The sequence below is a fragment of the Homo sapiens genome, chromosome 19 (assembly GCF_000001405.40).
Source record: "Homo sapiens chromosome 19, GRCh38.p14 Primary Assembly".
Taxonomy (NCBI): domain Eukaryota; kingdom Metazoa; phylum Chordata; class Mammalia; order Primates; family Hominidae; genus Homo; species Homo sapiens.
Window position 1 is genome coordinate 50,092,180 of NC_000019.10, and position 24,314 is coordinate 50,116,493.

A 24,314-nucleotide genomic window follows, 5' to 3' on the forward strand; every position below is an offset into this window, starting at 1 on the left:
ATCATTTGAGGCCAGGTGTTCAAGACCAGCCTGGTCAACATGGCGAAACCCCATCTCTTGGCAGGCGACTGTAATCCCAGCTACTCAGGAGGCTGAGATAGGAGACTCCCTTGAACCGACGAGGCGGAGGTTGCAGTGAGCGAAGATCACACCACTGCACTCCAGCCTGGGCAACAGAGCAAGGCTCGGTCTCCCAAAAAAAAAAAAAAAAAAAGACACATGGAAGTAATTTAAAAACACTTAGGAAGATGTCATTTCTTCCTATCAAGGCGTCCTCCCTTTATGTTTTGTCGTTATATTGGGAACGATAAAAAAAATCCTTTTTTCCGACCCATGTGGACCAGGCTGGCCTCGAACTCGTGCCCTGGAACCCCCGCCTCCGTGAGGGCCCGAGGGCAGGCGCAACCGGCCTGAGCCACAATGGCTCCGGGTGTCGGGGCTGTCCTTTAGTCCCTTTGATCTTACGCAGGGTGAGGGAGCCAATCACCAGAGGCTCCCCCCTGTCGTCACCCAGTCCCCAGGGCCAGTGAGGGCCCTGCGTTCCATGGCGCCCCCTGGAGGGAGGAAGGGGAACTGTATCTGAGAGTTCAGTATCTGACAATAAGGAAAAGGCATAGTAGATCAGATGGTGCCTAGTGTTCTGGGGAGAAGAAACAACGGGGTTGGGGAATGCGGAGTTGCAGTTTATAATACAGGCCTCATGTATAAGGCAGACCTCATGGGGAAGGTAACATCTGTGCAGAGAAATGGAGATGAGGGCTAGGAGCCATGCAAATACTGGAACATGCTTGCCAGCAGAAGTCGAGAAACATGGCCGGCGCAGTGGCCCACACCTGTAATCCCAGGACTTTGGGAGGCCGAGGCAGGTAGATCACGAGGTCAGCAGTTCGAGACCAGCCCGGCCAACATGGTGAAACCCTGTCTCTACTAAAAATACAAAAATTAGCTGGGTGTGGTGGCACACGCCTGTAATCCCAGCCACTTGGGAGGGTGAGGTAGGAGAATCGCTTGAACCTGGGAGGTAGAGGTTGCAGTGATGCAGTGAGCCGAGACCACGCCATTGTACTCTCGCCTGGGCGACAGAGCGAGACTCCATCTCAAAAAAAAAAAAAAAAAAAGCAAAAACAAACAGGTGAGATTCATTTTGATAAAATAGCTGATTTAACCTAATATACCTAAAACATCATAATTTTAACATAATCAATAGAAACATTTTTGCAAGATTTTATGTTATTTTTTACCATACGACGTCTTGGAAATCTTGGTTTGGACCAGCCATGTTCAACTGCTCAGTAGCCATGTGTGGCCAGAGGCGGCCGTATTGGACAGTGCAGATGGTGCATGAGGGTGTTCGGGCAGTGGGAACAGCCAGTACAGAGGCCCTGTGGGGGCACATGCCTGCTGCTACGGGAACAGTGAGGAGCCCCGTGTGGCTGCAGTGGAGTGAGAGGGAGAAGGTGGGAGATGTAACCAACAGTCTCATCATTCATTCATTAAATCCTTTTTTTTCTTTTTTTGAGACTGAGTTTCGCTCTTGTTGCCCAGGCTGGAGTGCAATGGTGCCATCTCGGCTCACCACAACCTCCACCTCTTGAGTTCAAGCGATTCTCCTGCCTCAGCCTTCCGAGTAGCTGGGATTACAGGCATGCGCCACCATGCCCGGCTAATTTTGTATTTTTAGTAGAGCTGGGGTTTCTCCCTGTTGGTCAGGCTGGTCTCGAACTCCCGACCTCAGGTGATCTGCCCGCCTTGACCTCCCAAAGTGCTGTGATTACAGGCTTGAGCCACTGCTCCCAGTCCATTGAATGTGTGTATATATAGTTGAATAAAGAAGACACCGGAGTTTGTTCTGTATCTTCTCCTTTCAAATTCTGTGCCATTTGAATTTTTTCCTATTCCTTTTATATATTTTTAATTGACAAATTGTACATATTTATCATGTACATATTGTTTTGAAATATGTATATACCGTAGAATGGCTAAATCAAGATCATTAACATATGTATTACTTTACCTATTTTCCTTTTTTCGTTGTGTCTCTGCCAGGTTTCGGTATCAGAATGACTCTGACCTCATAGAATGAGTTAGAGAGCAGTTGCTCCTCCTCAATTGTGTGGAATAATTTCAGTAGGATTGGTGCCGGCTTTTCTTTACACATCTGGTAGGATTCGACTGTGAATCCGTCTAGTCTAAGGTTTTTTGTGCTGGTTGGTAGGTTTTGTATGACTAACTCAATTTTGGAACTCATCGTTGGTTTGTTCAGGGTTTCCATTTCTTCCTGGTTCAATCTTGAGAGGTTTTATGTTTCCAGGAATTTCTCTATTTCTTCTAGTTTTCTAGTTTGTGTGCATAGACGCATGTGGAATAGTCTCAGGGTTTCTTGTATATCTCTGGGTCAGTGGAAATGTCACCTTTGTCATTTCTGATTGTGTTTATTTGGATCTTGTCTTTTTTTCTTTATTAATCTAGCTAGTGGTCTTCCCATGTTATTTATGCTTTCAAAAATATCAACTTTGTATGAATTAACAGCATTTGCCGTGACCTGGATGAGACCGGAGACTGTTATTCTAAGTGAAGTAAGTCAGGAATGGAAAACCAAACATCGTATGTTCTCACTGATATGTGGGAGCTAAGCTATGAGGACGCAAAGGCGTAAGAATGATACAATGGACTTTGGGGACTTAGGGGGACGAGTTGGCGGGGGCGAGGGATAAAATACAACAAGTAGGGTGTAGTGTATACTGCTCAGGTGATGGGTGCACCAAAATCACAAATCACCACTAAAGAGCTTATGTAACCACACACCACCTGTACCCCAATAATTTATGGAATAAATAATAAATAAATAATTTTTTTAAAAAATCAACTTTGGGTTTCATTGATCTTTTGTATGGTTTTTTACGTCTCCATTTCATTCAGGTCAGCTCCGATGTTGGTTTTTTTTTTTCTTCTGCTAGCTTTGGGGTTGATTTGCTCTTGTTTTTCTAATTCCTCTAGGTGTGATGTTAGGCGGTTCATTTGAGATCTTTCTAGCTTCTTAGTGTAGCCCTTTAGCACTAGAAACTTCCTTTGAGCACTGTTCTAGCTGTGTCCCAGAGATTCTGGGATGTTGTATGTTTGTTTTCATTAGTTTCAGATAATTTTTTTATTTCTGCCTTAATTTCAGTCTTTACCCAAAAGTCATTTGGAAGCAGGTTGTTTAATTTCCATGCCGACTCTAGGCCAGGCATGGTGGCTCATGCCTGTAATCCCAGCCACTTGGGAGGCTGAGGCAGGAGAATCGCTTGAATCCAGGAGGCAGAGGTTTCAGTGAGCCAAGATCACGCCACTGCACTCCAGCCCGGGCGACAGAGTGAGGCTGCGTCTCAAAAAAAAAAAAAAAAAAAAAATTGCCCCTTCTTAAGTTTGCATTTAGATCTCTTCTCCTTTGACCACTTTTAATTTATCTTCACTTCTGATATGACATTTAATTTTTCATTCATTTTCTGTCTATTATTGTTCCTTTTTTAACTTAAAAAAAATTCTGTACTTTATGAATTTCTGTTTCAAGGTGTTTTTCCCATCTCCAAATGCTTATTTGAAAATGTTTCCTTTCCTCTTGGTTCATTTCTTCTGGTGTGTGTGTGCGCGCGCCCGCGTGCATGTGTGTACTCGGGTCTCATTTTCTGCTTTCTTCCTGCAGTACTTCGTTTATGGGAGATGCACTTCGCTTTTCTTATTTTTTTAGTAGAGAGGGGGTTTCACTGGTTTAGCCAGAACAGTCTCGATCTCCTGACCTCGTGATCCGCCCACCTCGGGCTCCCAAAGTGCTGGGATTCCAGGAGTGAGCCACCGCGCCCGGCCGTCCACTTTGCTTCTTGCAGAGGCTGATGGTTTGAGTAATTTCCGAGATTCATAGCTCGAGCGCGCCCTGTTCTGTCTATGCAGTGAAGGGCAGCTTTTTGCATCCACGGCTTTTTGTTGGCAAGGAGGAATGTGCAGTGGCCAGATTTGTTTCTTCCCCTTTTGTTGCTGTTGTTGTTGTTGCTGCTGCTGTTATTGTTGTTGTTGTTGTATTTTATTTTGTAGCATCCTAAAGTGTCCCCTCCTTCTATTTCTTATCCTTATCCAGGTAGGGTTTAGAAAAGCTAACTTCAGGGGCAGGGGAGAGAGAGAAAGAGAGGAAGAGAAAATGAGAATGAATGACAATACATGAACCCATGGGTCAACCTTTATTTCAAGGCAGCCCAAAAGGACGGCTCTCCCTTCTCTTTCACTCTCTTCTCTAGGTGTGAAGCTGATGCAGCACAGGCGAGCCCCAAAATTGAGGCTTAGCCCGGGGGGGTTCTTGGCTTCTCCTAGAAACTAATTCAAGAAGCCGGGCGCAGTGGCTCACGCCTGTAATCCCAGCACTTTGGGAGGCTGAGGCGGATGGATCACTTGAGGTAAGGAGTTCGAGACCAGCCTGGCCAACATGGTGAAACCCCATCTCTACTAAATATACAAAAATTACCCGGGCATGGGGACGGGTGCCTGTAATCCCAGCTGTTCAGGAGGCTGAGGCAGGGGAATCGCTTGAACCCGGGAGGCGGAGGTTGCAGTGAACAGAGATCGTGTCACTGCACTCCAGCCTGGGTGATAGAGTGCGACTCCGTCTGAAAAAGAAAAAAATAATTCAAGGGCAGGCCGGTGGTTTTAGACGGCAACCTTTACCGAAGCCTCAGTGCACAGCCACAGCAGAGGGACACACACCTGTATCTTTTCTAAGACTGGGAGAATTTTACAATTGCTTGACTAATTGAACAGTGCCTCGAGGATGTTACACTAGGTTATAAATAAATTCCTGCCGTGTTTAGCTGAGGCACGAACACAATGCCCACTGACAATTCCACTTTCCTCGAGGGCCATTCTTTATGAAAGGCTGTAGGAGTTCCACGACATTGTTGATTCCTGGATTCTCCAAGTCTCTAGAACTTGAGAACTACTTTTGTGTATTTTTTTAACCTTTAAGTTCAGAGTTTCTAATGTCCGTTTTATACTACTATAAAATGGTACTATGTATTCTTTATTGATGGTACTATTTACACTTTATTTTATACAGACTCTGGCTCCACAAAAAGGTTAAAAATTAGCCAGGTGCAGTGGTGCACATCTGCGGCCCCAGCTACTCAGGAGGCTGAGGCAGAAGGATTGCTTGAGCTCGGATGGTCAGGGCTGCAATGAGCTATGATCACACATCACATCAATGCACTCCAGCCTGGGCAACAGAGTGAGACCCTGTCTCTAAAAGAATAGAAGAGGCTGGGCGCGGTGGCTCACGCCTGTCATCCTACCACTTTGGGAGACCAAGGCGAGTGGATCATTTGAGGCCAGGTGTTCAAGACCAGCCTGGTCAACATGGCGAAACCCCATCTCTTGGCAGGCGACTGTAATCCCAGCTACTCAGGAGGCTGAGATAGGAGACTCCCTTGAACCGACGAGGCGGAGGTTGCAGTGAGCGAAGATCACACCACTGCACTCCAGCCTGGGCAACAGAGCAAGGCTCGGTCTCCCAAAAAAAAAAAAAAAAAAAGACACATGGAAGTAATTTAAAAACACTTAGGAAGATGTCATTTCTTCCTATCAAGGCGTCCTCCCTTTATGTTTTGTCGTTATATTGGGAACGATAAAAAAAATCCTTTTTTCCGACCCATGTGGACCAGGCTGGCCTCGAACTCGTGCCCTGGAACCCCCGCCTCCGTGAGGGCCCGAGGGCAGGCGCAACCGGCCTGAGCCACAATGGCTCCGGGTGTCGGGGCTGTCCTTTAGTCCCTTTGATCTTACGCAGGGTGAGGGAGCCAATCACCAGAGGCTCCCCCCTGTCGTCACCCAGTCCCCAGGGCCAGTGAGGGCCCTGCGTTCCATGGCGCCCCCTGGAGGGAGGAAGGGGAACTGTATCTGAGAGTTCAGTATCTGACAATAAGGAAAAGGCATGGTAGATCAGATGGTGCCTAGTGTTCTGGGGAGAAGAAACAACGGGGTTGGGGAATGCGGAGTTGCAGTTTATAATACAGGCCTCATGTATAAGGCAGACCTCATGGGGAAGGTAACATCTGTGCAGAGAAATGGAGATGAGGGCTAGGAGCCATGCAAATACTGGAACATGCTTGCCAGCAGAAGTCGAGAAACAAGGCTGGCGCAGTGGCCCACACCTGTAATCCCAGGACTTTGGGAGGCCGAGGCAGGTAGATCACGAGGTCAGCAGTTCGAGACCAGCCTGGCCAACATGGTGAAACCCTGTCTCTACTAAAAATACAAAAATTAGCTGGGTGTGGTGGCACACGCCTGTAATCCCAGCCACTTGGGAGGCTGAGGCAGGAGAATCGCTTGAATCCAGGAGGCAGAGGTTTCAGTGAGCCAAGATCACGCCACTGCACTCCAGCCCGGGCGACACAGTGAGGCTGCGTCTCAAAAAAAAAAAAAAAAAAAAAAAAATTGCCCCTTCTTAAGTTTGCATTTAGATCTCTTCTCCTTTGACCACTTTTAATTTATCTTCACTTCTGATATGACATTTAATTTTTCATTCATTTTCTGTCTATTATTGTTCGTTTTTTAACTTAAAAAAAAATTCTGTACTTTATGAATTTCTGTTTCAAGGTGTTTTTCCCATCTCCAAATGCTTATTTGGAAATGTTTCCTTTCCTCTTGGTTCATTTCTTCTGGTGTGTGTGTGCGCGCGCCCGCGTGCATGTGTGTACTCGGGTCTCATTTTCTGCTTTCTTCCTGCAGTACCTCGTTTATGGGAGATGCACTTCGCTTTTCTTATTTTTTTAGTAGAGAGGGGGTTTCACTGGTTTAGCCAGAACAGTCTCGATCTCCTGACCTTGTGATCCGCCCACCTCGGGCTCCCAAAGTGCTGGGATTCCAGGAGTGAGCCACCGTGCCCGGCCGTCCACTTTGCTTCTTGCAGAGGCTGATGGTTTGAGTAATTTCCGAGATTCATAGCTCGAGCGCGCCCTGTTCTGTCTATGCAGTGAAGGGCAGCTTTTTGCATCCACGGCTTTTTGTTGGCAAGGAGGAATGTGCAGTGGCCAGATTTGTTTCTTCCCCTTTTGTTGCTGTTGTTGTTGTTGCTGCTGCTGTTATTGTTGTTGTTGTTGTATTTTATTTTGTAGCATCCTAAAGTGTCCCCTCCTTCTATTTCTTATCCTTATCCAGGTAGGGTTTAGAAAAGCTAACTTCAGGGGCAGGGGAGAGAGAGAAAGAGAGGAGGAGAAAATGAGAATGAATGACAATACATGAACCCATGGGTCAACCTTTATTTCAAGGCAGCCCAAAAGGACGGCTCTCCCTTCTCTTTCACTCTCTTCTCTAGGTGTGAAGCTGATGCAGCACAGGCGAGCCCCAAAATTGAGGCTTAGCCCGGGGGGGTTCTTGGCTTCTCCTAGAAACTAATTCAAGAAGCCGGGCGCAGTGGCTCACGCCTGTAATCCCAGCACTTTGGGAGGCTGAGGCGGATGGATCACTTGAGGTAAGGAGTTCGAGACCAGCCTGGCCAACATGGTGAAACCCCATCTCTACTAAATATACAAAAATTACCCGGGCATGGGGACGGGTGCCTGTAATCCCAGCTGTTCAGGAGGCTGAGGCAGGGGAATCGCTTGAACCCGGGAGGCGGAGGTTGCAGTGAACAGAGATCGTGTCACTGCACTCCAGCCTGGGTGATAGAGTGCGACTCCGTCTGAAAAAGAAAAAAAGAATTCAAGGGCAGGCCGGTGGTTTTAGACGGCAACCTTTACCGAAGCCTCAGTGCACAGCCACAGCAGAGGGACACACACCTGTATCTTTTCTAAGACTGGGAGAATTTTACAATTGCTTGACTAATTGAACAGTGCCTCGAGGATGTTACACTAGGTTATAAATAAATTCCTGCCGTGTTTAGCTGAGGCACGAACACAATGCCCACTGACAATTCCACTTTCCTCGAGGGCCATTCTTTATGAAAGGCTGTAGGAGTTCCACGACATTGTTGATTCCTGGATTCTCCAAGTCTCTAGAACTTGAGAACTACTTTTGTGTATTTTTTTAACCTTTAAGTTCAGAGTTTCTAATGTCCGTTTTATACTACTATAAAATGGTACTATGTATTCTTTATTGATGGTACTATTTACACTTTATTTTATACAGACTCTGGCTCCACAAAAAGGTTAAAAATTAGCCAGGTGCAGTGGTGCACATCTGCGGCCCCAGCTACTCAGGAGGCTGAGGCAGAAGGATTGCTTGAGCTCGGATGGTCAGGGCTGCAATGAGCTATGATCACACATCACATCAATGCACTCCAGCCTGGGCAACGGAGTGAGACCCTGTCTCTAAAAGAATAGAAGAGGCTGGGCGCGGTGGCTCACGCCTGTCATCCTACCACTTTGGGAGACCAAGGCGAGTGGATCATTTGAGGCCAGGTGTTCAAGACCAGCCTGGTCAACATGGCGAAACCCCATCTCTTGGCAGGCGACTGTAATCCCAGCTACTCAGGAGGCTGAGATAGGAGACTCCCTTGAACCGACGAGGCGGAGGTTGCAGTGAGCGAAGATCACACCACTGCACTCCAGCCTGGGCAACAGAGCAAGGCTCGGTCTCCCAAAAAAAAAAAAAAAAAAAGACACATGGAAGTAATTTAAAAACACTTAGGAAGATGTCATTTCTTCCTATCAAGGCGTCCTCCCTTTATGTTTTGTCGTTATATTGGGAACGATAAAAAAAATCCTTTTTTCCGACCCATGTGGACCAGGCTGGCCTCGAACTCGTGCCCTGGAACCCCCGCCTCCGTGAGGGCCCGAGGGCAGGCGCAACCGGCCTGAGCCACAATGGCTCCGGGTGTCGGGGCTGTCCTTTAGTCCCTTTGATCTTACGCAGGGTGAGGGAGCCAATCACCAGAGGCTCCCCCCTGTCGTCACCCAGTCCCCAGGGCCAGTGAGGGCCCTGCGTTCCATGGCGCCCCCTGGAGGGAGGAAGGGGAACTGTATCTGAGAGTTCAGTATCTGACAATAAGGAAAAGGCATGGTAGATCAGATGGTGCCTAGTGTTCTGGGGAGAAGAAACAACGGGGTTGGGGAATGCGGAGTTGCAGTTTATAATACAGGCCTCATGTATAAGGCAGACCTCATGGGGAAGGTAACATCTGTGCAGAGAAATGGAGATGAGGGCTAGGAGCCATGCAAATACTGGAACATGCTTGCCAGCAGAAGTCGAGAAACAAGGCTGGCGCAGTGGCCCACACCTGTAATCCCAGGACTTTGGGAGGCCGAGGCAGGTAGATCACGAGGTCAGCAGTTCGAGACCAGCCTGGCCAACATGGTGAAACCCTGTCTCTACTAAAAATACAAAAATTAGCTGGGTGTGGTGGCACACGCCTGTAATCCCAGCCACTTGGGAGGCTGAGGCAGGAGAATCGCTTGAATCCAGGAGGCAGAGGTTTCAGTGAGCCAAGATCACGCCACTGCACTCCAGCCCGGGCGACACAGTGAGGCTGCGTCTCAAAAAAAAAAAAAAAAAAAAAAAAATTGCCCCTTCTTAAGTTTGCATTTAGATCTCTTCTCCTTTGACCACTTTTAATTTATCTTCACTTCTGATATGACATTTAATTTTTCATTCATTTTCTGTCTATTATTGTTCGTTTTTTAACTTAAAAAAAAATTCTGTACTTTATGAATTTCTGTTTCAAGGTGTTTTTCCCATCTCCAAATGCTTATTTGGAAATGTTTCCTTTCCTCTTGGTTCATTTCTTCTGGTGTGTGTGTGCGCGCGCCCGCGTGCATGTGTGTACTCGGGTCTCATTTTCTGCTTTCTTCCTGCAGTACCTCGTTTATGGGAGATGCACTTCGCTTTTCTTATTTTTTTAGTAGAGAGGGGGTTTCACTGGTTTAGCCAGAACAGTCTCGATCTCCTGACCTCGTGATCCGCCCACCTCGGGCTCCCAAAGTGCTGGGATTCCAGGAGTGAGCCACCGCGCCCGGCCGTCCACTTTGCTTCTTGCAGAGGCTGATGGTTTGAGTAATTTCCGAGATTCATAGCTCGAGCGCGCCCTGTTCTGTCTATGCAGTGAAGGGCAGCTTTTTGCATCCACGGCTTTTTGTTGGCAAGGAGGAATGTGCAGTGGCCAGATTTGTTTCTTCCCCTTTTGTTGCTGTTGTTGTTGTTGCTGCTGCTGTTATTGTTGTTGTTGTTGTATTTTATTTTGTAGCATCCTAAAGTGTCCCCTCCTTCTATTTCTTATCCTTATCCAGGTAGGGTTTAGAAAAGCTAACTTCAGGGGCAGGGGAGAGAGAGAAAGAGAGGAAGAGAAAATGAGAATGAATGACAATACATGAACCCATGGGTCAACCTTTATTTCAAGGCAGCCCAAAAGGACGGCTCTCCCTTCTCTTTCACTCTCTTCTCTAGGTGTGAAGCTGATGCAGCACAGGCGAGCCCCAAAATTGAGGCTTAGCCCGGGGGGGTTCTTGGCTTCTCCTAGAAACTAATTCAAGAAGCCGGGCGCAGTGGCTCACGCCTGTAATCCCAGCACTTTGGGAGGCTGAGGCGGATGGATCACTTGAGGTAAGGAGTTCGAGACCAGCCTGGCCAACATGGTGAAACCCCATCTCTACTAAATATACAAAAATTACCCGGGCATGGGGACGGGTGCCTGTAATCCCAGCTGTTCAGGAGGCTGAGGCAGGGGAATCGCTTGAACCCGGGAGGCGGAGGTTGCAGTGAACAGAGATCGTGTCACTGCACTCCAGCCTGGGTGATAGAGTGCGACTCCGTCTGAAAAAAAAAAAAAGAATTCAAGGGCAGGCCGGTGGTTTTAGACGGCAACCTTTACCGAAGCCTCAGTGCACAGCCACAGCAGAGGGACACACACCTGTATCTTTTCTAAGACTGGGAGAATTTTACAATTGCTTGACTAATTGAACAGTGCCTCGAGGATGTTACACTAGGTTATAAATAAATTCCTGCCGTGTTTAGCTGAGGCACGAACACAATGCCCACTGACAATTCCACTTTCCTCGAGGGCCATTCTTTATGAAAGGCTGTAGGAGTTCCACGACATTGTTGATTCCTGGATTCTCCAAGTCTCTAGAACTTGAGAACTACTTTTGTGTATTTTTTTAACCTTTAAGTTCAGAGTTTCTAATGTCCGTTTTATACTACTATAAAATGGTACTATGTATTCTTTATTGATGGTACTATTTACACTTTATTTTATACAGACTCTGGCTCCACAAAAAGGTTAAAAATTAGCCAGGTGCAGTGGTGCACATCTGCGGCCCCAGCTACTCAGGAGGCTGAGGCAGAAGGATTGCTTGAGCTCGGATGGTCAGGGCTGCAATGAGCTATGATCACACATCACATCAATGCACTCCAGCCTGGGCAACGGAGTGAGACCCTGTCTCTAAAAGAATAGAAGAGGCTGGCCGCGGTGGCTCACGCCTGTCATCCTACCACTTTGGGAGACCAAGGCGAGTGGATCATTTGAGGCCAGGTGTTCAAGACCAGCCTGGTCAACATGGCGAAACCCCATCTCTTGGCAGGCGACTGTAATCCCAGCTACTCAGGAGGCTGAGATAGGAGACTCCCTTGAACCGACGAGGCGGAGGTTGCAGTGAGCGAAGATCACACCACTGCACTCCAGCCTGGGCAACAGAGCAAGGCTCGGTCTCCCAAAAAAAAAAAAAAAAAAGACACATGGAAGTAATTTAAAAACACTTAGGAAGATGTCATTTCTTCCTATCAAGGCGTCCTCCCTTTATGTTTTGTCGTTATATTGGGAACGATAAAAAAAATCCTTTTTTCCGACCCATGTGGACCAGGCTGGCCTCGAACTCGTGCCCTGGAACCCCCGCCTCCGTGAGGGCCCGAGGGCAGGCGCAACCGGCCTGAGCCACAATGGCTCCGGGTGTCGGGGCTGTCCTTTAGTCCCTTTGATCTTACGCAGGGTGAGGGAGCCAATCACCAGAGGCTCCCCCCTGTCGTCACCCAGTCCCCAGGGCCAGTGAGGGCCCTGCGTTCCATGGCGCCCCCTGGAGGGAGGAAGGGGAACTGTATCTGAGAGTTCAGTATCTGACAATAAGGAAAAGGCATGGTAGATCAGATGGTGCCTAGTGTTCTGGGGAGAAGAAACAACGGGGTTGGGGAATGCGGAGTTGCAGTTTATAATACAGGCCTCATGTATAAGGCAGACCTCATGGGGAAGGTAACATCTGTGCAGAGAAATGGAGATGAGGGCTAGGAGCCATGCAAATACTGGAACATGCTTGCCAGCAGAAGTCGAGAAACAAGGCTGGCGCAGTGGCCCACACCTGTAATCCCAGGACTTTGGGAGGCCGAGGCAGGTAGATCACGAGGTCAGCAGTTCGAGACCAGCCTGGCCAACATGGTGAAACCCTGTCTCTACTAAAAATACAAAAATTAGCTGGGTGTGGTGGCACACGCCTGTAATCCCAGCCACTTGGGAGGCTGAGGCAGGAGAATCGCTTGAATCCAGGAGGCAGAGGTTTCAGTGAGCCAAGATCACGCCACTGCACTCCAGCCCGGGCGACACAGTGAGGCTGCGTCTCAAAAAAAAAAAAAAAAAAAAAAAATTGCCCCTTCTTAAGTTTGCATTTAGATCTCTTCTCCTTTGACCACTTTTAATTTATCTTCACTTCTGATATGACATTTAATTTTTCATTCATTTTCTGTCTATTATTGTTCGTTTTTTAACTTAAAAAAAAATTCTGTACTTTATGAATTTCTGTTTCAAGGTGTTTTTCCCATCTCCAAATGCTTATTTGGAAATGTTTCCTTTCCTCTTGGTTCATTTCTTCTGGTGTGTGTGTGCGCGCGCCCGCGTGCATGTGTGTACTCGGGTCTCATTTTCTGCTTTCTTCCTGCAGTACCTCGTTTATGGGAGATGCACTTCGCTTTTCTTATTTTTTTAGTAGAGAGGGGGTTTCACTGGTTTAGCCAGAACAGTCTCGATCTCCTGACCTCGTGATCCGCCCACCTCGGGCTCCCAAAGTGCTGGGATTCCAGGAGTGAGCCACCGCGCCCGGCCGTCCACTTTGCTTCTTGCAGAGGCTGATGGTTTGAGTAATTTCCGAGATTCATAGCTCGAGCGCGCCCTGTTCTGTCTATGCAGTGAAGGGCAGCTTTTTGCATCCACGGCTTTTTGTTGGCAAGGAGGAATGTGCAGTGGCCAGATTTGTTTCTTCCCCTTTTGTTGCTGTTGTTGTTGTTGCTGCTGCTGTTATTGTTGTTGTTGTTGTATTTTATTTTGTAGCATCCTAAAGTGTCCCCTCCTTCTATTTCTTATCCTTATCCAGGTAGGGTTTAGAAAAGCTAACTTCAGGGGCAGGGGAGAGAGAGAAAGAGAGGAAGAGAAAATGAGAATGAATGACAATACATGAACCCATGGGTCAACCTTTATTTCAAGGCAGCCCAAAAGGACGGCTCTCCCTTCTCTTTCACTCTCTTCTCTAGGTGTGAAGCTGATGCAGCACAGGCGAGCCCCAAAATTGAGGCTTAGCCCGGGGGGGTTCTTGGCTTCTCCTAGAAACTAATTCAAGAAGCCGGGCGCAGTGGCTCACGCCTGTAATCCCAGCACTTTGGGAGGCTGAGGCGGATGGATCACTTGAGGTAAGGAGTTCGAGACCAGCCTGGCCAACATGGTGAAACCCCATCTCTACTAAATATACAAAAATTACCCGGGCATGGGGACGGGTGCCTGTAATCCCAGCTGTTCAGGAGGCTGAGGCAGGGGAATCGCTTGAACCCGGGAGGCGGAGGTTGCAGTGAACAGAGATCGTGTCACTGCACTCCAGCCTGGGTGATAGAGTGCGACTCCGTCTGAAAAAAAAAAAAAGAATTCAAGGGCAGGCCGGTGGTTTTAGACGGCAACCTTTACCGAAGCCTCAGTGCACAGCCACAGCAGAGGGACACACACCTGTATCTTTTCTAAGACTGGGAGAATTTTACAATTGCTTGACTAATTGAACAGTGCCTCGAGGATGTTACACTAGGTTATAAATAAATTCCTGCCGTGTTTAGCTGAGGCACGAACACAATGCCCACTGACAATTCCACTTTCCTCGAGGGCCATTCTTTATGAAAGGCTGTAGGAGTTCCACGACATTGTTGATTCCTGGATTCTCCAAGTCTCTAGAACTTGAGAACTACTTTTGTGTATTTTTTTAAGTTCAGAGTTTCTAATGTCCGTTTTATACTACTATAAAATGGTACTATGTATTCTTTATTGATGGTACTATTTACACTTTATTTTATACAGACTCTGGCTCCACAAAAAGGTTAAAAATTAGCCAGGTGCAGTGGTGCACATCTGCGGCCCCAGCTACTCAGGAGGCTGAGGCAGAAGGATTGCTTGAGCTCGGATGGTCAGGGCTGCAATGAGCTATGATCACACATCACATCAATGCACTCCAGCCTGGGCAACAGAGTGAGACCCTGTCTCTAAAAGAATAGAAGAGGCTGGGCGCGGTGGCTCACGCCTGTCATCCTACCACTTTGGGAGACCAAGGCGAGTGGATCATTTGAGGCCAGGTGTTCAAGACCAGCCTGGTCAACATGGCGAAACCCCATCTCTTGGCAGGCGACTGTAATCCCAGCTACTCAGGAGGCTGAGATAGGAGACTCCCTTGAACCGACGAGGCGGAGGTTGCAGTGAGCGAAGATCACACCACTGCACTCCAGCCTGGGCAACAGAGCAAGGCTCGGTCTCCCAAAAAAAAAAAAAAAAAAAAAGACACATGGAAGTAATTTAAAAACACTTAGGAAGATGTCATTTCTTCCTATCAAGGCGTCCTCCCTTTATGTTTTGTCGTTATATTGGGAACGATAAAAAAAATCCTTTTTTCCGACCCATGTGGACCAGGCTGGCCTCGAACTCGTGCCCTGGAACCCCCGCCTCCGTGAGGGCCCGAGGGCAGGCGCAACCGGCCTGAGCCACAATGGCTCCGGGTGTCGGGGCTGTCCTTTAGTCCCTTTGATCTTACGCAGGGTGAGGGAGCCAATCACCAGAGGCTCCCCCCTGTCGTCACCCAGTCCCCAGGGCCAGTGAGGGCCCTGCGTTCCATGGCGCCCCCTGGAGGGAGGAAGGGGAACTGTATCTGAGAGTTCAGTATCTGACAATAAGGAAAAGGCATAGTAGATCAGATGGTGCCTAGTGTTCTGGGGAGAAGAAACAACGGGGTTGGGGAATGCGGAGTTGCAGTTTATAATACAGGCCTCATGTATAAGGCAGACCTCATGGGGAAGGTAACATCTGTGCAGAGAAATGGAGATGAGGGCTAGGAGCCATGCAAATACTGGAACATGCTTGCCAGCAGAAGTCGAGAAACATGGCCGGCGCAGTGGCCCACACCTGTAATCCCAGGACTTTGGGAGGCCGAGGCAGGTAGATCACGAGGTCAGCAGTTCGAGACCAGCCCGGCCAACATGGTGAAACCCTGTCTCTACTAAAAATACAAAAATTAGCTGGGTGTGGTGGCACACGCCTGTAATCCCAGCCACTTGGGAGGGTGAGGTAGGAGAATCGCTTGAACCTGGGAGGTAGAGGTTGCAGTGATGCAGTGAGCCGAGACCACGCCATTGTACTCTCGCCTGGGCGACAGAGCGAGACTCCATCTCAAAAAAAAAAAAAAAAAAAAAAAAAAAAAGCAAAAACAAACAGGTGAGATTCATTTTGATAAAATAGCTGATTTAACCTAATATACCTAAAACATCATAATTTTAACATAATCAATAGAAACATTTTTGCAAGATTTTATGTTATTTTTTACCATACGACGTCTTGGAAATCTTGGTTTGGACCAGCCATGTTCAACTGCTCAGTAGCCATGTGTGGCCAGAGGCGGCCGTATTGGACAGTGCAGATGGTGCATGAGGGTGTTCGGGCAGTGGGAACAGCCAGTACAGAGGCCCTGTGGGGGCACATGCCTGCTGCTACGGGAACAGTGAGGAGCCCCGTGTGGCTGCAGTGGAGTGAGAGGGAGAAGGTGGGAGATGTAACCAACAGTCTCATCATTCATTCATTAAATCCTTTTTTTTCTTTTTTTGAGACTGAGTTTCGCTCTTGTTGCCCAGGCTGGAGTGCAATGGTGCCATCTCGGCTCACCACAACCTCCACCTCTTGAGTTCAAGCGATTCTCCTGCCTCAGCCTTCCGAGTAGCTGGGATTACAGGCATGCGCCACCATGCCCGGCTAATTTTGTATTTTTAGTAGAGCTGGGGTTTCTCCCTGTTGGTCAGGCTGGTCTCGAACTCCCGACCTCAGGTGATCTGCCCGCCTTGACCTCCCAAAGTGCTGTGATTACAGGCTTGAGCCACTGCTCCCAGTCCATTGAATGTGTGTATATATAGTTGAATAAAGAAGACACCGGAGTTTGTTCTGTATCTTCTCCTTTCAAATTCTGTGCCATTTGAATTTTTTCCTATTCCTTTTATATATTTTTAATTGACAAATTGTACATATTTATCATGTACATATTGTTTTGAAATATGTATATACCGTAGAATGGCTAAATCAAGATCATTAACATATGTATTACTTTACCTATTTTCCTTTTTTCGTTGTGTCTCTGCCAGGTTTCGGTATCAGAATGACTCTGACCTCATAGAATGAGTTAGAGAGCAGTTGCTCCTCCTCAATTGTGTGGAATAATTTCAGTAGGATTAGTGCCGCCTTTTCTTTACACGTCTGGTAGGATTCGACTGTGAATCCGTCTAGTCTAAGGTTTTTTGTGCTGGTTGGTAGGTTTTGTATGACTAACTCAATTTTGGAACTCATCGTTGGTTTGTTCAGGGTTTCCATTTCTTCCTGGTTCAATCTTGAGAGGTTTTATGTTTCCAGGAATTTCTCTATTTCTTCTAGTTTTCTAGTTTGTGTGCATAGAGGCATGTGGAATAGTCTCAGGGTTTCTTGTATATCTGTGGGTCAGTGGTAATGTCACCTTTGTCATTTCTGATTGTGTTTATTTGGATCTTGTCTTTTTTTCTTTATTAATCTAGCTAGTGGTCTTCCCATGTTATTTATGCTTTCAAAAATATCAACTTTGTATGAATTAACAGCATTTGCCGTGACCTGGATGAGACCGGAGACTGTTATTCTAAGTGAAGTAAGTCAGGAATGGAAAACCAAACATCGTATGTTCTCACTGATATGTGGGAGCTAAGCTATGAGGACGCAAAGGCGTAAGAATGATACAATGGACTTTGGGGACTTAGGGGGACGAGTTGGCGGGGGCGAGGGATAAAATACAACAAGTAGGGTGTAGTGTATACTGCTCAGGTGATGGGTGCACCAAAATCACAAATCACCACTAAAGAGCTTATGTAACCACACACCACCTGTACCCCAATAATTTATGGAATAAATAATAAATAAATAATTTTTTTAAAAAATCAACTTTGGGTTTCATTGATCTTTTGTATGGTTTTTTACGTCTCCATTTCATTCAGGTCAGCTCCGATGTTGGTTTTTTTTTTTCTTCTGCTAGCTTTGGGGTTGATTTGCTCTTGTTTTTCTAATTCCTCTAGGTGTGATGTTAGGCGGTTCATTTGAGATCTTTCTAGCTTCTTAGTGTAGCCCTTTAGCACTAGAAACTTCCTTTGAGCACTGTTCTAGCTGTGTCCCAGAGATTCTGGGATGTTGTATGTTTGTTTTCATTAGTTTCAGATAATTTTTTTATTTCTGCCTTAATTTCAGTCTTTACCCAAAAGTCATTTGGAAGCAGGTTGTTTAATTTCCATGATGACTCTAGGCCGGGCATGGTGGCTCATGCCTGTAATCCCAGCCACTTGGGAGGCTGAGGCAGGAGAATCGCTTGAATCCAGGAGGCAGAGGTTTCAGTGAGCCAAGATCACGCCACTGCACTCCAGCCCGGGCGACAGAGTGAGGCTGCGTCTCAAAAAAAAAAAAAAAAAAAAAAAATTGCCCCTTCTTAAGTTTGCATTTAGATCTCTTCTCCTTTGACCACTTTTAATTTATCTTCACTTCTGATATGACATTTAATTTTTCATTCATTTTCTGTCTATTATTGTTCCTTTTTTAACTTAAAAAAAATTCTGTACTTTATGAATTTCTGTTTCAAGGTGTTTTTCCCATCTCCAAATGCTTATTTGAAAATGTTTCCTTTCCTCTTGGTTCATTTCTTCTGGTGTGTGTGTGCGCGCGCCCGCGTGCATGTGTGTACTCGGGTCTCATTTTCTGCTTTCTTCCTGCAGTACCTCGTTTATGGGAGATGCACTTCGCTTTTGTTATTTTTTTAGTAGAGAGGGGGTTTCACTGGTTTAGCCAGAACAGTCTCGATCTCCTGACCTCGTGATCCGCCCACCTCGGGCTCCCAAAGTGCTGGGATTCCAGGAGTGAGCCACCGCGCCCGGCCGTCCACTTTGCTTCTTGCAGAGGCTGATGGTTTGAGTAATTTCCGAGATTCATAGCTCGAGCGCGCCCTGTTCTGTCTATGCAGTGAAGGGCAGCTTTTTGCATCCACGGCTTTTTGTTGGCAAGGAGGAATGTGCAGTGGCCAGATTTGTTTCTTCCCCTTTTGTTGCTGTTGTTGTTGTTGCTGCTGCTGTTATTGTTGTTGTTGTTGTATTTTATTTTGTAGCATCCTAAAGTGTCCCCTCCTTCTATTTCTTATCCTTATCCAGGTAGGGTTTAGAAAAGCTAACTTCAGGGGCAGGGGAGAGAGAGAAAGAGAGGAAGAGAAAATGAGAATGAATGACAATACATGAACCCATGGGTCAACCTTTATTTCAAGGCAGCCCAAAAGGACGGCTCTCCCTTCTCTTTCACTCTCTTCTCTAGGTGTGAAGCTGATGCAGCACAGGCGAGCCCCAAAATTGAGGCTTAGCCCGGGGGGGTTCTTGGCTTCTCCTAGAAACTAATTCAAGAAGCCGGGCGCAGTGGCTCACGCCTGTAATCCCAGCACTTTGGGAGGCTGAGGCGGATGGATCACTTGAGGTAAGGAGTTCGAGACCAGCCTGGCCAACATGCTGAAAACCCCATCTCTACTAAATATACAAAAATTACCCGGGCATGGGGACGGGTGCCTGTAATCCCAGCTGTTCAGGAGGCTGAGGCAGGGGAATCGCTTGAACCCGGGAGGCGGAGGTTGCAGTGAACAGAGATCGTGTCACTGCACTCCAGCCTGGGTGATAGAGTGCGACTCCGTCTGAAAAAAAAAAAAAAAGAATTCAAGGGCCGGCCGGTGGTTTTAGACGGCAACCTTTACCGAAGCCTCAGTGCACAGCCACAGCAGAGGGACACACACCTGTATCTTTTCTAAGACTGGGAGAATTTTACAATTGCTTGACTAATTGAACAGTGCCTCGAGGATGTTACACTAGGTTATAAATAAATTCCTGCCGTGTTTAGCTGAGGCACGAACACAATGCCCACTGACAATTCCACTTTCCTCGAGGGCCATTCTTTATGAAAGGCTGTAGGAGTTCCACGACATTGTTGATTCCTGGATTCTCCAAGTCTCTAGAACTTGAGAACTACTTTTGTGTATTTTTTTAACCTTTAAGTTCAGAGTTTCTAATGTCCGTTTTATACTACTATAAAATGGTACTATGTATTCTTTATTGATGGTACTATTTACACTTTATTTTATACAGACTCTGGCTCCACAAAAAGGTTAAAAATTAGCCAGGTGCAGTGGTGCACATCTGCGGCCCCAGCTACTCAGGAGGCTGAGGCAGAAGGATTGCTTGAGCTCGGATGGTCAGGGCTGCAATGAGCTATGATCACACATCACATCAATGCACTCCAGCCTGGGCAACAGAGTGAGACCCTGTCTCTAAAAGAATAGAAGAGGCTGGGCGCGGTGGCTCACGCCTGTCATCCTACCACTTTGGGAGACCAAGGCGAGTGGATCATTTGAGGCCAGGTGTTCAAGACCAGCCTGGTCAACATGGCGAAACCCCATCTCTTGGCAGGCGACTGTAATCCCAGCTACTCAGGAGGCTGAGATAGGAGACTCCCTTGAACCGACGAGGCGGAGGTTGCAGTGAGCGAAGATCACACCACTGCACTCCAGCCTGGGCAACAGAGCAAGGCTCGGTCTCCCAAAAAAAAAAAAAAAAAAAAAGACACATGGAAGTAATTTAAAAACACTTAGGAAGATGTCATTTCTTCCTATCAAGGCGTCCTCCCTTTATGTTTTGTCGTTATATTGGGAACGATAAAAAAAATCCTTTTTTCCGACCCATGTGGACCAGGCTGGCCTCGAACTCGTGCCCTGGAACCCCCGCCTCCGTGAGGGCCCGAGGGCAGGCGCAACCGGCCTGAGCCACAATGGCTCCGGGTGTCGGGGCTGTCCTTTAGTCCCTTTGATCTTACGCAGGGTGAGGGAGCCAATCACCAGAGGCTCCCCCCTGTCGTCACCCAGTCCCCAGGGCCAGTGAGGGCCCTGCGTTCCATGGCGCCCCCTGGAGGGAGGAAGGGGAACTGTATCTGAGAGTTCAGTATCTGACAATAAGGAAAAGGCATAGTAGATCAGATGGTGCCTAGTGTTCTGGGGAGAAGAAACAACGGGGTTGGGGAATGCGGAGTTGCAGTTTATAATACAGGCCTCATGTATAAGGCAGACCTCATGGGGAAGGTAACATCTGTGCAGAGAAATGGAGATGAGGGCTAGGAGCCATGCAAATACTGGAACATGCTTGCCAGCAGAAGTCGAGAAACATGGCCGGCGCAGTGGCCCACACCTGTAATCCCAGGACTTTGGGAGGCCGAGGCAGGTAGATCACGAGGTCAGCAGTTCGAGACCAGCCCGGCCAACATGGTGAAACCCTGTCTCTACTAAAAATACAAAAATTAGCTGGGTGTGGTGGCACACGCCTGTAATCCCAGCCACTTGGGAGGGTGAGGTAGGAGAATCGCTTGAACCTGGGAGGTAGAGGTTGCAGTGATGCAGTGAGCCGAGACCACGCCATTGTACTCTCGCCTGGGCGACAGAGCGAGACTCCATCTCAAAAAAAAAAAAAAAAAAAAAAAAAAAAAGCAAAAACAAACAGGTGAGATTCATTTTGATAAAATAGCTGATTTAACCTAATATACCTAAAACATCATAATTTTAACATAATCAATAGAAACATTTTTGCAAGATTTTATGTTATTTTTTACCATACGACGTCTTGGAAATCTTGGTTTGGACCAGCCATGTTCAACTGCTCAGTAGCCATGTGTGGCCAGAGGCGGCCGTATTGGACAGTGCAGATGGTGCATGAGGGTGTTCGGGCAGTGGGAACAGCCAGTACAGAGGCCCTGTGGGGGCACATGCCTGCTGCTACGGGAACAGTGAGGAGCCCCGTGTGGCTGCAGTGGAGTGAGAGGGAGAAGGTGGGAGATGTAACCAACAGTCTCATCATTCATTCATTAAATCCTTTTTTTTCTTTTTTTGAGACTGAGTTTCGCTCTTGTTGCCCAGGCTGGAGTGCAATGGTGCCATCTCGGCTCACCACAACCTCCACCTCTTGAGTTCAAGCGATTCTCCTGCCTCAGCCTTCCGAGTAGCTGGGATTACAGGCATGCGCCACCATGCCCGGCTAATTTTGTATTTTTAGTAGAGCTGGGGTTTCTCCCTGTTGGTCAGGCTGGTCTCGAACTCCCGACCTCAGGTGATCTGCCCGCCTTGACCTCCCAAAGTGCTGTGATTACAGGCTTGAGCCACTGCTCCCAGTCCATTGAATGTGTGTATATATAGTTGAATAAAGAAGACACCGGAGTTTGTTCTGTATCTTCTCCTTTCAAATTCTGTGCCATTTGAATTTTTTCCTATTCCTTTTATATATTTTTAATTGACAAATTGTACATATTTATCATGTACATATTGTTTTGAAATATGTATATACCGTAGAATGGCTAAATCAAGATCATTAACATATGTATTACTTTACCTATTTTCCTTTTTTCGTTGTGTCTCTGCCAGGTTTCGGTATCAGAATGACTCTGACCTCATAGAATGAGTTAGAGAGCAGTTGCTCCTCCTCAATTGTGTGGAATAATTTCAGTAGGATTGGTGCCGCCTTTTCTTTACACGTCTGGTAGGATTCGACTGTGAATCCGTCTAGTCTAAGGTTTTTTGTGCTGGTTGGTAGGTTTTGTATGACTAACTCAATTTTGGAACTCATCGTTGGTTTGTTCAGGGTTTCCATTTCTTCCTGGTTCAATCTTGAGAGGTTTTATGTTTCCAGGAATTTCTCTATTTCTTCTAGTTTTCTAGTTTGTGTGCATAGAGGCATGTGGAATAGTCTCAGGGTTTCTTGTATATCTGTGGGTCAGTGGTAATGTCACCTTTGTCATTTCTGATTGTGTTTATTTGGATCTTGTCTTTTTTTCTTTATTAATCTAGCTAGTGGTCTTCCCATGTTATTTATGCTTTCAAAAATATCAACTTTGTATGAATTAACAGCATTTGCCGTGACCTGGATGAGACCGGAGACTGTTATTCTAAGTGAAGTAAGTCAGGAATGGAAAACCAAACATCGTATGTTCTCACTGATATGTGGGAGCTAAGCTATGAGGACGCAAAGGCGTAAGAATGATACAATGGACTTTGGGGACTTAGGGGGACGAGTTGGCGGGGGCGAGGGATAAAATACAACAAGTAGGGTGTAGTGTATACTGCTCAGGTGATGGGTGCACCAAAATCACAAATCACCACTAAAGAGCTTATGTAACCACACACCACCTGTACCCCAATAATTTATGGAATAAATAATAAATAAATAATTTTTTTAAAAAATCAACTTTGGGTTTCATTGATCTTTTGTATGGTTTTTTACGTCTCCATTTCATTCAGGTCAGCTCCGATGTTGGTTTTTTTTTTTCTTCTGCTAGCTTTGGGGTTGATTTGCTCTTGTTTTTCTAATTCCTCTAGGTGTGATGTTAGGCGGTTCATTTGAGATCTTTCTAGCTTCTTAGTGTAGCCCTTTAGCACTAGAAACTTCCTTTGAGCACTGTTCTAGCTGTGTCCCAGAGATTCTGGGATGTTGTATGTTTGTTTTCATTAGTTTCAGATAATTTTTTTATTTCTGCCTTAATTTCAGTCTTTACCCAAAAGTCATTTGGAAGCAGGTTGTTTAATTTCCATGATGACTCTAGGCCGGGCATGGTGGCTCATGCCTGTAATCCCAGCCACTTGGGAGGCTGAGGCAGGAGAATCGCTTGAATCCAGGAGGCAGAGGTTTCAGTGAGCCAAGATCACGCCACTGCACTCCAGCCCGGGCGACAGAGTGAGGCTGCGTCTCAAAAAAAAAAAAAAAAAAAAAAATTGCCCCTTCTTAAGTTTGCATTTAGATCTCTTCTCCTTTGACCACTTTTAATTTATCTTCACTTCTGATATGACATTTAATTTTTCATTCATTTTCTGTCTATTATTGTTCCTTTTTTAACTTAAAAAAAATTCTGTACTTTATGAATTTCTGTTTCAAGGTGTTTTTCCCATCTCCAAATGCTTATTTGAAAATGTTTCCTTTCCTCTTGGTTCATTTCTTCTGGTGTGTGTGTGCACGCGCCCGCGTGCATGTGTGTACTCGGGTCTCATTTTCTGCTTTCTTCCTGCAGTACCTCGTTTATGGGAGATGCACTTCGCTTTTGTTATTTTTTTAGTAGAGAGGGGGTTTCACTGGTTTAGCCAGAACAGTCTCGATCTCCTGACCTCGTGATCCGCCCACCTCGGGCTCCCAAAGTGCTGGGATTCCAGGAGTGAGCCACCGCGCCCGGCCGTCCACTTTGCTTCTTGCAGAGGCTGATGGTTTGAGTAATTTCCGAGATTCATAGCTCGAGCGCGCCCTGTTCTGTCTATGCAGTGAAGGGCAGCTTTTTGCATCCACGGCTTTTTGTTGGCAAGGAGGAATGTGCAGTGGCCAGATTTGTTTCTTCCCCTTTTGTTGCTGTTGTTGTTGTTGCTGCTGCTGTTATTGTTGTTGTTGTTGTATTTTATTTTGTAGCATCCTAAAGTGTCCCCTCCTTCTATTTCTTATCCTTATCCAGGTAGGGTTTAGAAAAGCTAACTTCAGGGGCAGGGGAGAGAGAGAAAGAGAGGAAGAGAAAATGAGAATGAATGACAATACATGAACCCATGGGTCAACCTTTATTTCAAGGCAGCCCAAAAGGACGGCTCTCCCTTCTCTTTCACTCTCTTCTCTAGGTGTGAAGCTGATGCAGCACAGGCGAGCCCCAAAATTGAGGCTTAGCCCGGGGGGGTTCTTGGCTTCTCCTAGAAACTAATTCAAGAAGCCGGGCGCAGTGGCTCACGCCTGTAATCCCAGCACTTTGGGAGGCTGAGGCGGATGGATCACTTGAG

General features: G+C 46.7%; 6 non-coding genes across 6 annotated transcripts; all 6 read right to left on the reverse strand.

Annotated features, from left to right (window-relative positions):
• Nucleotides 1–309: 309 nt before the first annotated feature.
• Nucleotides 310–430, reverse strand: SNAR-A4 (small NF90 (ILF3) associated RNA A4). Its single transcript, NR_024215.1, has one exon. It is a non-coding gene; the product is annotated as a small NF90 (ILF3) associated RNA A4 (small nuclear RNA).
• Nucleotides 431–5,646: 5,216 nt separating this feature from the next.
• On the reverse strand, nt 5,647–5,767 carry SNAR-A14 (small NF90 (ILF3) associated RNA A14). Its single transcript, NR_024242.1, has one exon. It is a non-coding gene; the product is annotated as a small NF90 (ILF3) associated RNA A14 (small nuclear RNA).
• A 2,944-nt stretch (nt 5,768–8,711) lies between these two features.
• SNAR-A5 (small NF90 (ILF3) associated RNA A5) lies at nt 8,712–8,832 on the reverse strand. The gene has a single exon (NR_024223.1). It is a non-coding gene; the product is annotated as a small NF90 (ILF3) associated RNA A5 (small nuclear RNA).
• A 2,943-nt stretch (nt 8,833–11,775) lies between these two features.
• On the reverse strand, nt 11,776–11,896 carry SNAR-A6 (small NF90 (ILF3) associated RNA A6). Its single transcript, NR_024227.1, has one exon. It is a non-coding gene; the product is annotated as a small NF90 (ILF3) associated RNA A6 (small nuclear RNA).
• Nucleotides 11,897–14,834: 2,938 nt separating this feature from the next.
• Nucleotides 14,835–14,955, reverse strand: SNAR-A7 (small NF90 (ILF3) associated RNA A7). Its single transcript, NR_024224.1, has one exon. It is a non-coding gene; the product is annotated as a small NF90 (ILF3) associated RNA A7 (small nuclear RNA).
• Nucleotides 14,956–20,188: 5,233 nt separating this feature from the next.
• SNAR-A8 (small NF90 (ILF3) associated RNA A8) lies at nt 20,189–20,309 on the reverse strand. Its single transcript, NR_024228.1, has one exon. It is a non-coding gene; the product is annotated as a small NF90 (ILF3) associated RNA A8 (small nuclear RNA).
• Nucleotides 20,310–24,314: the final 4,005 nt, after the last annotated feature.